Genomic DNA, 16,152 nt, shown 5'->3' with positions numbered 1-16,152 from the left:
ACTGAGTCCATGTAGGGGAGGGGTGATGGGGCCATGTGGGGTAACAGGAGGATGAATGGGGTGAGAGGTAGAGCTTTGTAGCTAAGGACACTGACCTTTGGTGCCTGGGACATAACGTTCACATATGGTGAGGCAGGTCTAGATTTGGGAACGTGCCTGTGGTACATGCTGCCTTGCAGAGGGGAAGGAAGAAGTGAGAGAGAAGATGGTGGGTGCAGAGAAGAATGAGGTTGAGGCCAGGCACAGCCCCTCCTGTCAGCCTTATCTAAGAGAAATGTGTGGCCCTGCAGTGAGGGCCCTGCAGTCAGCACCTGCAGTGGTGCTGCCATGGTGCCTGCTCTGCATAGCCCACCTGCCCTGGAGCCAGGGCCAACACTTTTGGGAAAGGCTGGATTCCATGAGCTTCTTGACTGATGCTGTTTTCCAGCTTTACCTGCTTATGTGCTTCCTGGATCTCCAAGAATTATAGCACACGGACTTAGCCTCAGGGTCTGTGCTTTTTTTCTGGGACATCTGACACTTGAACACAATTAAAATAAAGCATTTGCTCACCTCTGAGAGGACCCCACTTTTCATTCACTCATCCATTCATTCATTCACTCATTCATTCACTCAAACATTTGCTGAGCACCAACTCTCAGCACTAGGGAAATAACAATAGAGAAAATCATCATCTTTCTCCTCAAAAACTCCCATTTTCAAAGGACTCTTAAATTTATGACTAAAAACAAGTGGATAAGCAGAATAGGAGCCAATAAAATTCCAAGGGCATTCCAGGGTAGTTCAGGGGAAAAAGGTCAGCTCTGCTGGGGACTGGCCAGAGATTCTGCAGAGGACCAATAAGGAGTGGGTGTGGGGACTCATCCAGGAGGAGAGAGGAGCAGTTGAGAGAAAGGCATGGGCAAGTCACTGGGGCAGGCAGGAGCATGGAACCTTGCAGATCATCAAGTTGCCCTATGTGGCTGGAGCACAGACGAGTTGGATGGTAGGAGAAGATGCTACATAACTGTCTGGAACTGGCTTCTAGCAGCATGGGGGCCTCTGCAAGGGAAGCTGGGCATTACCCAGCAGGTCAACTGTTGCCAGTAGTATTAGTCTGTTCTCATACTGCTATAAAGAAATACCTGAGACTGGGTAATTTATAAAGAAAAGAGGTTTAACTTGCTCACATTTCTGTAGGCTATACAGGAAGCATGGCTGGGGAAGCCTCAGGAAACTTACAATCATGGCAGAAGGCAAAGGGGAAGCCTGCATGTCTTACACGGCTGCAGCAGGAGGAAGACAGAAAAGGGGGAGGTGCTACACCCTTTTAAACAACCAGATGTTGTGATAACTCACTATTATGAGAATAGCACCAAAGGGGAAATCCACCCCCATGATCTAGTCATCTCCCACCAGGCCCTTCCTCCAACACTGGGGATTATAATTTGACATGAGATTAGGGAAGGGACGTAAACCCAAACCATATCATTCTACCCCTTGCCCCTCCCAAATCTCATGTCCTTCTCACATTTCAAAATACAATCATGCCTTCCCAACCTTCCCCCATAGTCTTAATTCATTCCAGCATTAACTCAGAAGTCCAAAGTCTAAAGTCATCTGAGACAAGGCTAGTCTCTTCTACCTATGAGCTTGTAACAATCAAAAACAAGTTCGTTACTTCCAAGATACAGTGGGGGTATAGGAATTGGGTAAATACTCCTTTTCCCAAAGGGAGCATGAGTGAGCTTTGTGGTGGTGGTACTGCTAGGTATGTTGATTGTGGTGGTGGTTATAGGAAGCTACACATGAGCTGAAGGTACACACACATGCACACACACACACTGCATGCACATACAAACTTGAATTACACCAATGTCAATATCCTGGCTTTTATATTGAAATATCAGGAGCGGCTGGGTAAAGGGTACAGGGGACCTCTCTGTACACTTCTTGGCAAATTCCTATGAATATCTATTTCAAAATAAAAAGTTTTAAAACTGTGTGGCCTCTTGTGTGGGAGACTAGCCAGTGCCAGATATGCCTGTGATGGAGTCAGGTGCTCAATTAAGTGGGCTGCACATACAAGTGGAATTCTCTAACTCAGCTTTATCCCAGAGTACAGCTGAGGTTTTCAGTTCCATCTCTGATTCCTGTGACATATTTCTCAAGTCATTCAAATTCTTAGATGAGGAAAGGGCTGTGACTAAATGTCAGTCTCTGAGAACCCAGCTCCCTGGACCTCAGACCTTTAGACTAGGAACCAGTTCCGGAGAGAAACTTGAATTATGCCTTTGCAATTCCTGAACATCTGGGTCTAGACCCACAAACAGGGTTGGCTCATGAGGGAGTAAAAACTTTCTCAGGGAATGAAAAAGTTTTGGACAGAATGTCCCAAAAAGCCCATGGTGTCCTCTGATTTGACCAAATTCTTTAGAATAAATAAGACTTTAGCTGCCCTTGGAAACAGCCAGAAAAAAAAAAAGGGCAGTTATAGAAAATAGTGAGATTAAGAAAAAAAGCACTGAGAAGCCAGGTACCTCCTGGGATAATAAAAATACAATAAAAATGCAGCAACACACACAAAAATCACATTCTGCTTTAGAATCATATTTGTATCAGCAAATATGACATCTCTTATCTGTTTTAAATTAGAAAAATCAACTCTGCAAGTGAAGGTTTGAAGCTCTTGTGTTTCAAGTTCAAACCTCACTTTAAACTTGGTCGGCCCCCAGTGCAACTTGCAAACGGAGCTGGAGAAATCTTAGAATTCTGAGAGGCCCGTGGGAGGGATGCACGTTTTCTCACTCTTGTGGTTATCGTTGGTGCCAGTCTGAACACTTTGATCTCAAAGCAATTTGTCGGAGCCCTGGTTCTCCCACCATCTGTCTACATGCCAATTGTCTTGAGGAGATTTACACACGAAGCAAATCCAATTAAATGAAGAGACTGCCCCTGGCAGCTCTAAGCATTTCTAACACAGGAAGGCCACGCTCTGGAATCCAGCGGGCATTCCCGAATCATGGCTGATTATCAGGTATTTCATCAAACAATTTCCAGTTTGCCAGCAAACCACAGGCTGACAAGACAAAGGCAGGGGTCAGTGTGATTCTAAGATGGTGCTTCAATGTTCATATTTCATTCATGACAAGCATTGCATGCATTAGAGTACAGTTTCCTTAGGAATTCAAGAGTAATTTGAACCATTCAATCTCCAGAACCAAAATAACACAAATAAGAGCAAGGGAGATAAAAGGTTTCCCAAAGAACTTTTTCTCAGAAGGTCGACAGGAGTTAGAATTATAGTCTGAAAAGATTAAGCGACACAACTTTCAATTTCCCATTCATCCAGGAAACCCTGCCTCTTCATCCAACACAATTCAGAAAACTTAAAACCGGCCAAATGTGTCTAACTAAAAATGAAGGCTGGACATGATGGCTCATGCCTGTAATCCCTGCATTTTGGGAGGCCAAGGCGGGAGGATCACTTCAGCCCGGGAGTTAGAGACCAGTCTGGGGAATACAGGAAAACCCTGTTTCTACTAAAAACTAAAATAAAATAAATTGTGGGGTGTGGTGGTGAGTGCCTGTTGTCCCAGCTACTCCAGAGGCTGAGGTGGGAGGATTACTTGAGCCCAGGAGTTTGAGGCTGCAGTGAGTTATGACTGAGCCACTGCACTCCAGTCTGGACAACAGAGGGAGACTGTCTCAGAAAAATTAAAAATATAAAAATAAAAATAGGGCCAGGCGCAGTGGCTCATGCCTGTAGTCCCAGCACTTTGGGAGGCCTAGGCGGGCAGATCACAAGGTCAAGAGATCGAAACCATCCTGGCCAACATGGTGAAAACCCATCTCTACTAAAAATACAAAAATTAGCTGGGCGTGGTGGTGCGTACCTGTAGACTCAGCTACTTGGGAGGCTGAGGCAGGAGAATTGCGTGAACCCGGGAGGCGGAGGTTGCCGTGAGCTGAGCTTGTGCCACTGCACTCCAGCCTAGGGACACAGCGAGACTCTGTCTCAAAAAAAATTAATAAAAATAAAGAGCTTTGTGAAGATCAGGCCCCCAGGGACCAGCTGGGATGCTGACTTGGTGAGGCACGTGTGGGTGGGGGTGACTCTGGATGTGCTGGTGTTTGCAGGAGTGAGCAGCCACCATTCCTTCCAAGTTGACCTTCTGGGGCTCAGGGTCTCCAGCTAGTGGCTCTCAGGGGGTGCTTCACAGCTCCCTGAAAAATGGAAGTTCTTACTCTGGGAGTGGGGACTGTGTGTTCCTTTGCGGGTGGCTGTTGTAGATGGGTTTGCAAGCCTTGTGAGGGCCCTGTGGTTTCTGGGCGTATAGATCCCTCTTCCTTGCTATGAGCCTGCACCCCCAAGGGATACCTCACGTGCCTCGGGCCCCACTCAGGGAAAACAGGTACCAGCCTCAGCTTCCTCCCTGCTGGGTTGAAAGGCAAGGTCTGAGCCTAAGCCACCAGTGGCACCTTCGTGCCCGCCACTCAAGTTATTTGAAGCGAATGAACCACAGAAGCAGAAATGCCTGTGATCCTGATTGTTTGTTAATGGGGCACAGCAGCAAGTTCGTTTCCATCTGGAATTATTAGCACCACCAGTTGCCATTCTTTTTTTCCCTCAGGGAACTATTTAAGACCCAGGATCAGGCCAGTGCGCATTCCAGGGGCAGGCTAAAAGCGGCAACAAATAGGAGAGAAAAAAATAATATAGTTTTACCCAGTCACCACCACGCAACTGGGCTGGGAATCCATGAAGACGGAGTGGGAGCTCGCGCTGCGCTTCCTGGGTCAGGCGGCGGCCCAGCGGCCGGGCTCTGCGCGCTCTGCGGGCCTGGTCGCGTGCTGACTGCCGGGCCACTGTGGAGCGGGAGCCCAACTCCTCCTGGCTGCTGGGCTTCCTTAGCGTTCTGGGCCCGGAAAGGCCAAGGATCTAGGGGAGGGTGATAAGGCGATGCCCCTTGAAAGCACAAGGATGCAGCTGAGGACAGCGGGTGGGAGTGAGAGGTGACAGCGTGCTGGCAGTCCTCACAGCCCTTGCTCGCTCTCGGCGCCTCCTCGGCCTTGGCGCCCACTCTGGCTGCGCTTGAGGAGCCCTTCAGCCCCCCGCTGCACTGTGGGAGCCCCTTTCTGCACTGGCCAAGGCCGGAGCCGGCTCCCTCAGCTTGCGGGGAGGTGTGGAGGGAGAGGCGCAGGCGGGAACCGGGGCTGTGCGTGGTGCTTGCGGGCCAGCGCGAGTTCCGGGTGGGCCTGGGCTCGGCTGGCCTCGCACTCGGAGCGCCCGGCCGGCCCCGCTAGCCCTGGGCAGTGAGGGGCTTAGCACCTGGGCCAGCAGCTGCTGTGCTCGACTTCTCGCCGGGCCTTAGCTGCCTTCCCACGGGGCAGGGCTCGGGACCTGCAGCCCGCCATGCCTGAGCCTCCCCCCTCTCTCTGTGGGCTCCTGTACCGCTGGAGCCTCCCCGACGAGCGCCGCTCCCTGCTCCAGGGCGCCCAGTCCCATCGACCACCCAAGGGCTGAGGAGTGCAGGCCCACGGCGCGGGACTGGCAGGCAGCTCCACCTGCCGCCCCGGTGCAGGATCCACTGGGTGAAACCAGCTGGGCTCCTGAGTCTGGTGGGGAGTTGGAGAACCTTTATGTCTAGCTAAGGGATTGTAAATACACCAATCAGCACCCTGTGTCTAGCTCAGGGTTTCCGAATGCACCAATGGAACTCTGTATCTAGCTACTCTGGTGGGGAGTTGGAGAACCTTTATGTCTAGCTAAGGGATTGTAAATACACCAATCGGCACTCTGTATCTAGCTCAAGGTTTGTAAACACACCAATCAGCACCCTGTGTCTAGCTCAGGGTTTGTGAATGCACCAATCCACACTCTGTATCTAGGTACTCTGGTGGGGAAGTGGAGAACCTTTGTGTCCAGCTCAGGGACTGTAAATGCACCAATCAGCACCCTGTCAAAACGGACCAATCAGCTCTCTGTAAAACAGACCAATCGGCTGTTTGTAAGATGGACCAATCAGCAGGATGTGGGTGGGGCCAGGTAAGAATAAAAGCAGGCTGCCCCAGGTAGTGGTGGCAACGCGCTAGGGTCACTTTTGAGATCAAGAAAGCTTTGTTCTTTTGCTGTTTATAATAAAACCTGTTGCTGCTCGCTCTTTTGGGTTCTGACTGCGTTTATGAGCTGTAACACTTACCACAAAGGTGTGTAGGTTCACTCCTGAAGCCTGTGAGACCACGAATCCACCGGGAGGAACGAACAACTCCAGATGTGGTGCCTTAAGAGCTATAACACTCACTGTGAAGGTCTGCAGCTTTGCTCCTGAGCTAGCTAGACCACGAACCCACCAGCAGGAAAAAACTCCGAACACATTTGAGCATCAGAAGGAACAAACTCTGGACACGCCGCCTTTAAGAACTGTGATATTCACTGCGACAGTCCGCGGCTTCATTCTTGAAGTCAGACCAAGAACCCACCAATTCCGGACATAGGAATACTAGCAGGGACTTTCTGGACATTCGGCTCGGAGTTGGTTAGTTGTTCAGGATGGTTCAAAGGTGAGCTAAAGGCTTGGCTGCCAGCTGTCCTGGTTTGCCTGGGATGGAGGGGTGTCTGGGACGGGACACTAGAACGTGCTCAAAGGGGTACCGTCCTGGGTACTGTGGGCTACCCTACAAGTCGTTTACTTAGATTTTGTTTCCTCTTTAGGAATTTCTGCTCCCTGCCGGAGCTCCTCATTGTGTTTGGCCGTTATATTTGGTAAAATTTGATTGCTCTGGAAACTGATTCCACATGTGCGATGTGAGCAGAAAAAAAAACAAAACAAAACCATAGATGAATCTTATGGCGCCTACCTTTAAAATATTGATTGCAAGCACCGCTGTCTAGAAGCTGTGGGTCCTCAGGGAAGTTAACCTCTGTGCTCAGGTTTCCTGTCTTGAGAAACGAGGATCGCACACCGGATCCTGTATGGATTCTTTGTGTCCCAGGCGCTTTACCCAGCTTCATTGGCCCTGAGGAATAGAGGCTTGCCACCTAGCTAGTGTCTGTGCAGGCTTGCTAGCTCTGTGCTCACGACTCTGCGTTCTGCCTGTGAAAAGTGCTTGCTTGACACTGCTGGACTCGTTAAATGTGCCACTGACAGTGAGCCACAGCCGTGGCATGCCATCTGGCTCTGCAGACAGTCCTCCTCTTAATTGTGTCAGAATAACTGAAAAAGCTAACATTTGGGGCTATTTCCTCTATTGAAGAAACTGTTATACAATATCTTGATCTTTCAGGGAATACTGTTTAAAAAAAAAAAGAACTTTTGGCCTGGTGCATTGGCTTATACCTTTAATTTCACCATTTGGAGAGGCCAAGGTGGGAGGATAGCTTGAGGCCAGGAGTTCACGATCAACCTGGGCAACATGGCAAGACTGCGTCAGTTAAATTTCTAAAGTGGTGTGCGCCCATAGTCCTGGCTACTCAGGGAGGCTGAGGCGGGAGGATCACTTGAGCCCAGTCAGCCATTACTGCACCTCTGCACTCCACCCTGGGTGATAGAGCAAGACCTTGTCTCTCAAAATAGTCTTAAAAACTTTTTTTAAGCTAAAAATACTATTTTTCCAAAGCTGTATAATAAGAGCCATAATTCTCTGTCCCTAGCTAGGTCTGGGGAGGAGAAACTCCTTTCAGGGAAGCAGGCAGAGCCTCTCAAGCACCCTTCGGCCTCTAGAGAGCTCAGTGTAACAGCAGGACCACGTGGCTCCATCTGCTGAATTGTTCTCCTGATAGCGCTCCCTTTTAATTGGGATCACGCCAGGGGATTAGACCCCACTTGATGGCTTTCTGGGATTCTGAACCAGGTACAATTCCCTTTAATTGGCTCCTGGTGTGGGCTGCAGGCTTCTTTATAGCCAAGGACAGGTGGGATGTGCCATTTGCTCCCACTGGTCTCCCACTCCCTGCCCTGAGAAGCTGGAGCCCACCTTGTGTTGAGTGGGATGCAGAGGGCTTTGTACTTCGCCTCATTTCACGGAAGTTACCCAGTTTCTCATATTCCTGGAGGCACTTGTGGACTTGGTCTCAACCTCTTCTGGTGAGCAGCTCTCCTGGCTCCTATCACTTACCTAGTTGCATCATGGGGTCTTGGCTTCCCCTGCACAGTTAAAGGAAGAGAGTGGGCCATTAAGAAATGCCCCCCATCACAGCCGTTTTGTGTCTTTTTTTTTTTTTTTTTTTTTTTTTTTTTTTGAGACATAGTCTCTCTCTGTCGCCCAGGCTGGAGTGCAGTGGTGCGATCTCGGCTCACTGCAACCTCTGCCTGCCAGGTTCAAGCAATTCTCTTCCTCAGTCTCCCAAGTAGTTGGGGTTACAGGCACCTGCCACCACGCCTGGCTATTTTGTATGTTTTTAGTAGAGACAAGGTTTGACCTTCTTGGCCAGGCTGGTCTTGGAACTCCTGACCTCGTGATCCACCTGCCTCGAACCCCCAAAGTGCTGTGATTACAGGCATGAGCCACCGCGCCCGGCCAGAAATGCCCACATTTGTAAAGTTGGTTGCTGCTAGGGTCCAACTCTGCTATCAACATTCACCGATGAGGTCTGGGAATGGGAACTTGTGTTTAAGCAGACTCCTTAAGTGCAAAGACTGCCCATCTTTAACCATACTACTTTTCTGATAACAAAGCTGAAATTTTCATCATTTTTTTTTTGATTTGACAGGAGCTATTCCTATTTTAATTAAACTGGATTGTGTCCTGGAGTTTTCACTTTCCCATAATTCACTTTTTTTTGTTCTAAAGTTTTCTCTAATTTTGAAATTAATAGGAAAAACAACAGACATAAAATATTTTACTTAGTCACAGTGATATGTCTATTTTTGTATTCATTCACCTCCCCTCTCCCCACACAAGAAACCCCCAGCACATTCCTACTTTCTGGAATGAAAATAGCTCCGAGAAGTATGGATTTTGAGGTTCAACATCTGCACTTTTATTTCTTTTTCCCTTGTAAAAACAAACGCTCTCTAAAAATTGATGTCAAACAGTCTTCAGGCCGATAAAATACAGTAAGCCTGAGAACGAATAAGGCAACTAAATGGAGCTGTTTTATTTAACAGAGAGCACAGTGATCTTCTTTACGAGCGGGATTCCAGAGAGGAAAATGTTTGTAATCAGATTTGACTCTAGGATTAAGAGAGCAAGATGTGACCCTCTTAGGAGGGTCTTTGAGACAGGGTCTTACTTTGTGGCCCAGGCTGGAGTGCAGTGGTGTAATCTCGGTTCACTGCAACCTCCGCCTCCCAGTTCAAGCCATTCTCGTGCCTCAGCCTCCTGAGTAGCTGGGATTACAGGTGCACGCCACCACTCCCGGCTAATTTTAGTAGAGACAGGGTTTCACCATGTTGGCCAGGCTGGTCTCAAACTCCTGATCTCAAGTGATCTGCTTGCCTCAGCCTCCTAAAGTGCTGTTATTACAGGCGTGAGCCACTACACCTGGCCCACGTTGTAGGCTTTGTGGGCCAGTTGGAATTTGGCTGTTGCAGTGTGAAAGTAGCAATAGATAATATGTAAGTGAATGGGTGTGACTGCATTCCAATAATTATTTATGGATGCTGAATTTTGAATTTAATATAATGCCCATGTGTCATGAAATAGTCTTTGGATTTTTTCAGCTATTTGCAAGTGTAGAAACTATTCTTAGCTCTCAGGCTGTTCAAAAATGGGCAATGGGCTTAGTGGGGCTGTGAGCTGTCATTTGCAAAATCTTGCATTTGAATATTTCTCTTAACAGGGGACATGGTATGGCTGCTGATAGGAACACTTTTACACTGTTGGTGGGACTGTAAACTAGTTCAACCATGGTGGAAGTCAGTGTGGCAATTCCTCAGGGATCTAGAACTAGAAATACCATTTGACCCAGCCATCCCATTACTGGGTATATACCCAAAGGACTATAAATCATCCTGCTATAAAGACACATGCACACATATGTTTATTGTGGCACTATTCACAATAGTTAGAAGAGCATTATGAAGAGGCATGGCCAACATTTTTGTTTTCAAAATTATACTTTTTATGATGTGTACTAGGAATTAACAGAAGCAGTTAGCACCACTAATTTTTTACAATTATTTTACAATTTTTTCCTAGTACAATCTGTTAAAAATTTGATAAAAACATTCTCCCACACCCCACCACTCCAACCGGGATGTGAATTTGCTGGTTGTTCAAGGTGGGATCTGGCTGCTGTGCCCAGGTAGGTTAGGAATCTAAAGCTCTAATTCATCTTCTTGGAGGTATTGGACACTATACATTCATGTTTTTGAACTTTATACTAAAGGATGCTTCTCAAATGCTTACACCATTTACTTCTTTTAAAATTAAAAACTTGAGGCTGGGTGCGGTGGCTCATGCCTGTGATCCTAGCACTTTGGGAGGCTGAGGCAGGTGGATCACTTGAGGTCAGGAGTTTAAGACCAGCCTGGCCAACATGGTGAAACCCCATTTCTACAAAAAAAAAAAAATACAAAAAAAAAACACTCAGGCGTGGTGGCAGGTGCCTGTAGTCCCAGCTACTCAGGAGGCTGAGGCAGGAGAATCGCTTGAGCCCAGGAGGCAGACATTGCAGTGAGCCAAGATTGTGCCATTGCACTCCAGCCTGGGCGACAGAGTGAGAATCAATAAAATTAAAAACTTGAAGCCAGGCATGGTGGCATGCTCTTGTATTCCCAGCTACATAGGAGCTTCTCCCAGCTGATGGGAGAAGATCGCTTGAGCCTGGGAGGTCAAGGCTGCAGTGAGCTATGATCTCTCCACTCCAGCCTGGATGAGAGGGCAAGCCCCTGTCTCTAAAAATGAAAAAAAAAAAAAGACGAGAAACAATCATTCAAAATGGTTGTAAAACCATCAAGAAATTGGTATGCTGGTATCATCTTCAATATGCCATGGGAAACTGATATTGAAGATAATGGAATTTACAACTTCACCTGTGAATTTTGAATTAATAGTTTTGAAAATGGCTGTTTTAAAATTCCTGGCAGGGCCAGGTGTGGTGCTTTGCGCCTATAATCCCAGCACTTTTGGAGGCTGAGGCAGGCAGATCACTTGAGGTCAGGAGTTCGAGACCAGCCTGGCCAACATCATGAAACACCATCACTATTAAAAATACAAAAATTAGCTGGGTGTAGTGGTGTGCACCTGTAGTCCCACCTACCTGGGAGGCTGAGGCAGGAGAATCACTGAAACCAGAGAGGCAGAGATTACAGTGAGCCAAGATCGCACCACTGCACTCCAGCCTGGGTGACAGAGCCAGACTCGATGTCTCAAAAAAAATAAAATAAATAAATAAATAAAATTCCTGGCAGTTTTCTATGCTATATCACAAGGTGATAATTCTTATATTTTGTAGAAGGATTTGTCTTTATTTTTCTTCTGTCTTACATTTTTCTTTTAGATTTTTGCTAAGCCTTTTTTTTTTTTTTTTTTTTTTTTTTTTTTAGGGACTACAGCTCTTTGACTGCAAAGTAACAACTGTTGAAGCGGGAAGTTTTCTGTTTGTTAAAATCCAGTAGCTTGTTAGCCCTGTTGTTTAAATACTGGATTTTTCTTTGAAATTTCACAAATATCTTAGGAATGACTGGAACATTTGTGTTCTTAACACTGAGGAAATTCTTGTGTAGACAAATGAGGCCAGATGGAGGGTGCAGCAGAGAGCTTAATATCCTCTTGGAATGGAAGAGGGGCCACACTAAAACATGCACCAGGCCTTCAAGGGGCCACTATTTTCCGGTATACACATGTAAGAGGCATTTTTCTTTTTTTCTTGATTGGGGCCGAGGGTAAATTTCGTGTCAGAAGTGAGTGCTAAGTGGCTGAGTAGGTTTGGGAAAGGCTTAGTGATCCAGCTTATTTATAGACAATCCGATTATAATATTTATGATCATTGATTTTTAAAAATTACTGGACCTCTTAAAAATGGTTGGATATGAGACTGGTATATACTGAAGCTAATAGTTTTCTCTTTTTAAAGAGATAGTGTCTCCCTCTGACGACACACAGGCTGGAGTGCAGTGGCACTGTCAGAGCTCACTGAATCCTCAAACTCCTGAGCTCAAGCGATCTTCCCACCTCAGCCTTCTGTGTAGCTGGGACCACAGGTGTGTGCCACCATGCTTGGCTAATTTTTTAACTTTTTCTTTTTTGTAGAGAGGGAGTCTTGCTATGTTGCTCAGGCTGGTCTTTTTTTTTTAAATTTTTTATTATTATACTTTTAAGTTTTAGGGTACATGTGCACAATGTGCAGGTTAGTTACATATGTATACATGTGCCATGCTGGTGTGCTGCACCCACTAACTCGTCATCTAGCATTAGGTATATCTCCCAATGCTATCCCTCCCCCCTCCCCCCACCCCACAACAGTCCCCAGAGTGTGATGTTCCCCTTCCTGAGTCCATGTGTTGTCATTGTTCAATTCCCACCTATGAGTGAGAATATGTGGTGTTTGGTTTTTTGTTCTTGCGATAGTTTACTGAGAATGATGATTTCCAGTTTCATCCATGTCCCTACAAAGGACGTGAACTCAACATTTTTTATGGCTGCATAGTATTCCATGGTGTATATGTGCCACATTTTCTTAATCCAGTCTATCATTGTTGGACATTTGGGTTGGTTCCAAGTCTTTGCTATTGTGAATAGTGCCACAAGAAACGTGTGCATGTGTCTTTATAGCAGGATGATTTATAGTCCTTTGGGTATATACCCAGTAATGGGATGGCTGGGTCAAATGGTATTTCTAGTTCTAGATCCCTGAGGAATTGCCACACTGACTTCCACAATGGTTGAACTAGTTTACAGTCCCACCAACAGTGTAAAAGTGTTCCTATTTCTCCACATCCTCTCCAGCACCTGTTGGTTCCTGACTTTTTAATGATTGCCATTCAAACTGGTGTGAGATGGTATCTCATGGTGGTTTTGATTTGCATTTCTCTGATGGCCAGTGATGGTGAGCATTTTTTCATGTGTTTTTTGGCTGCATAAATATCTTCTTTTGAGAAGTGTCTGTTCATGTGCTTTGCCCACTTTTTGATGGGGTTGTTTGTTTTTTTCTTGTAAATTTGTTTGAGTTCATTGTAGATTCTGGATATTAGCCCTTTGTCAGATGAGTAGATTGCAAAAATTTTCTCCCATTCTGTAGGTTGCCTGTTCACTCTGATGGTAGTTTCTTTTGCTGTGCAGAAGCTCTTTAGTTTAATTAGATCCCATTTGTCAATTTTGGCTTTTGTTGCCATTGCTTTTGGTGTTTTAGACATGAAGTCCTTGCCCATGCCTATGTCCTGAATGGTAATGCCTAGGTTTTCTTCTAGGGTTTTTATGGTTTTAGGTCTAATGTTTAAGTCTTTAATCCATCTTGAATTGATTTTTGTATAAGGTGTAAGGAAGGGATCCAGTTTCAGCTTTCTACATATGGCTAGCCAGTTTTCCCAGCACCATTTATTAAATAGGGAATCCTTTCCCCATTGCTTGTTTTCGGCAGGTTTGTCAAAGATCAGATAGTTGTAGATATGTGGCATTATTTCTGAGGGCTCTGTTCTGTTCCATTGGTCTGTATCTCTTTTTTGGTACCAGTACCATGCTGTTTTGGTTACTGTAGCCTTGTAGTATAGTTTGAAGTCAGGTAGTGTGATGCCTCCAGCTTTGTTCTTTTGGCTTAGCATTGACTTGGTGATGCAGGCTCTTTTTTGGTTCCATATGAACTTTAAAGTACTATTTTCCAATTCTGTGAAGAAAGTCATTGGTAGCTTTATGGGGATGGCATTGAATCTGTAAATTACCTTGGGCGGTATGGCCATTTTGACGATATTGATTCTTCCTACCCATGAGCATGGAATGTTCTTCCATTTGTTTGTATCCTCTTTTATTTCCTTGAGGAAATAAAAGTGGTTTGTAGTTCTCCTTGAAGAGGTCCTTCACATCCCTTGTAAGTTGGATTCCTAGGTATTTTATTCTCTTTGTAGCAATTGTGAATGGGAGTTCACTCATGATTTGGCTCTCTGTTTGTCTGTTGTTGGTGTGTAAGAATGCTTGTGATTTTTGTACATTGATTTTGTATCCTGAGACTTTGCTGAAGTTGCTTATCAGCTTAAGGAGATTTTGGGCTGAGAAAATGGGGTTTTCTAGATATACAATCATGTCATCTACAAACAGGGACATTTTGACTTCCTCTTTTCCTAAGTGAATACCCTTTATTTCCTTCTCCTGCCTAATTGCCCTGGCCAGAACTTCCAACACTATGTTGAATAGGAGTGGTGAGAGAGGGCATCCCTGTCTTGTGCCAGTTTTCAAAGGGAATGCTTCCAGTTTTTGCCCATTCAGTATGATATTGGCTGTGGGTTTGTCATAGATAGCTCTTATTATTTTGAAATACATCCCATCAATACCTAATTTATTGAGTTTTTAGCATGAAGGGTTTTTGAATTTTGTCAAAGGCCTTTGCTGCATCTATTGAGATAATCATATGGTTTTTGTCTTTGGTTCTGTTTATATGCTGGATTACATTTATTGATTTGTGTATATTGAACCCGCCTTGCATCCCAGAGATGAAGCCCACTTGATCATGGTGGATAAGCTTTTTGATGTGCTGCTGGATTTGGTTTGCCAGTATTTTATTGAGGATTTTTGATCAATGTTCATCAAGGATATTGGTTTAAAATTCTCTTTTTTGGTTGTGTCTCTGCCCAGCTTTGGTATCAGGATGATGCTGGCCTCATAAAATGAGTTAGGGAGGATTCCCTCTTTTTCTATGGATTGGAATAGTTTCAGAAGGAATGGTACCAGTTCCTCCTTGTACCTCTGGTAGAATTCGGCTGTGAATCCATCTGGTCCTGGACTCTTTTTGGTTTGTAAGCTATTGATTATTGCCACAATTTCAGCTCCTGTTATCGGTCTATTCAGAGATTCAACTTCTTCCTGGTTTAGTCCTGGGAGAGTGTACGTGTCAAGGAATTTATCCATTTCTTCTAGATTTTGTAGTTTATTTGTGTAGAGGTGTTTGTAGTATTCTCTGATGGTAGTTTGTATTTCTGTGGGATCAGTGGTGATATCCCCTTTATGATTTTGTATTGCGTTTATTTGATTCTTCTCTCTTTTTTTATTAGTCTTGTTAGCGGTCCATCAATTTTGTTGATCCTTTCAAAAAACCAGCTCCTGGATTCATTAATTTTTTGAAGGGTTTTTTGTGTCTTTATTTCCTTCAGTTCTGCTCTGATTTTAGTTATTTCTTGCCTTCTGCTAGCTTTTGAATGTGTTTGCTCTTGCTTTTCTAGTTCTTTTAGTTGTGATGTTAGGGTGTCAGTTTTGGATCTTTACTGCTTTCTCTTGTGGGCATTTAGTGCTATAAATTTCCCTCTACACACTGTTTTGAATGTGTCCCAGAGATTCTGGTATGTTGTCTTTGTTCCCATTGGTTTCAAAGAACATCTTTATTTCTGCCTTCATTTCGTTATGTACCCAGTAGTCATTCAGGAGCAGGTTGTTCAGTTTCCATGTAGTTGAGTGGTTTTGAGTGAGATTCTTAATCCTGAGTTCTAGTTTGATTGCACTGTGGTCTGAGAGACAGTTTGTTATAATTTCTGTTCTTTTACATTTGCTGAGGAGAGCTTTACTTCCAACTATGTGGTCAATTTTGGAATAGGTGTGGTGTGTTGCTGAAAAAAATGTATATTCTGTTGATTTGGGGTGGAGAGTTCTGTAGATATCTATTAGGTCTGCTTGGTGCAGAGCTGAATTCAATTCCTGGGTATCCTTCTTGACTTTCTGTCTCCTTGATCTGTCTAATGTTGACAGTGGGGTGTTAAAGTCTCCCATTATTAATGTGTGGGAGTCTAAGTCTCTTTGTAGGTCACTAAGGACTTGCTTTATGAATCTGGGTGCTGCTGTATTGGGTGCATATATATTTAGGATAGTTAGCTCTTCTTGTTGAATTGATCCCTTTACCATTATGTAATGGCCTTCTTTGTCTCTTTTGATCTTTGTTGGTTTAAAGTCTGTTTTATCAGAGACTAGGATTGCAACCCCTGCCTTTTTTTGTTTTCCATTGGCTTGGTAGATCTTCCTCCATCCTGTTATTTTGAGCCTTTGTGTGTCTCTGCACATGGGATGGGTTTCCTGAATACAGTACACTGA

The sequence above is a fragment of the Homo sapiens genome, chromosome 15, assembly GCF_000001405.40.
Source record: "Homo sapiens chromosome 15, GRCh38.p14 Primary Assembly".
NCBI classification, from domain to species: Eukaryota; Metazoa; Chordata; class Mammalia; order Primates; family Hominidae; genus Homo; species Homo sapiens.
The sequence above is the reverse complement of the archived record's forward strand: the minus strand, read 5'-3'. Positions refer to the sequence as shown.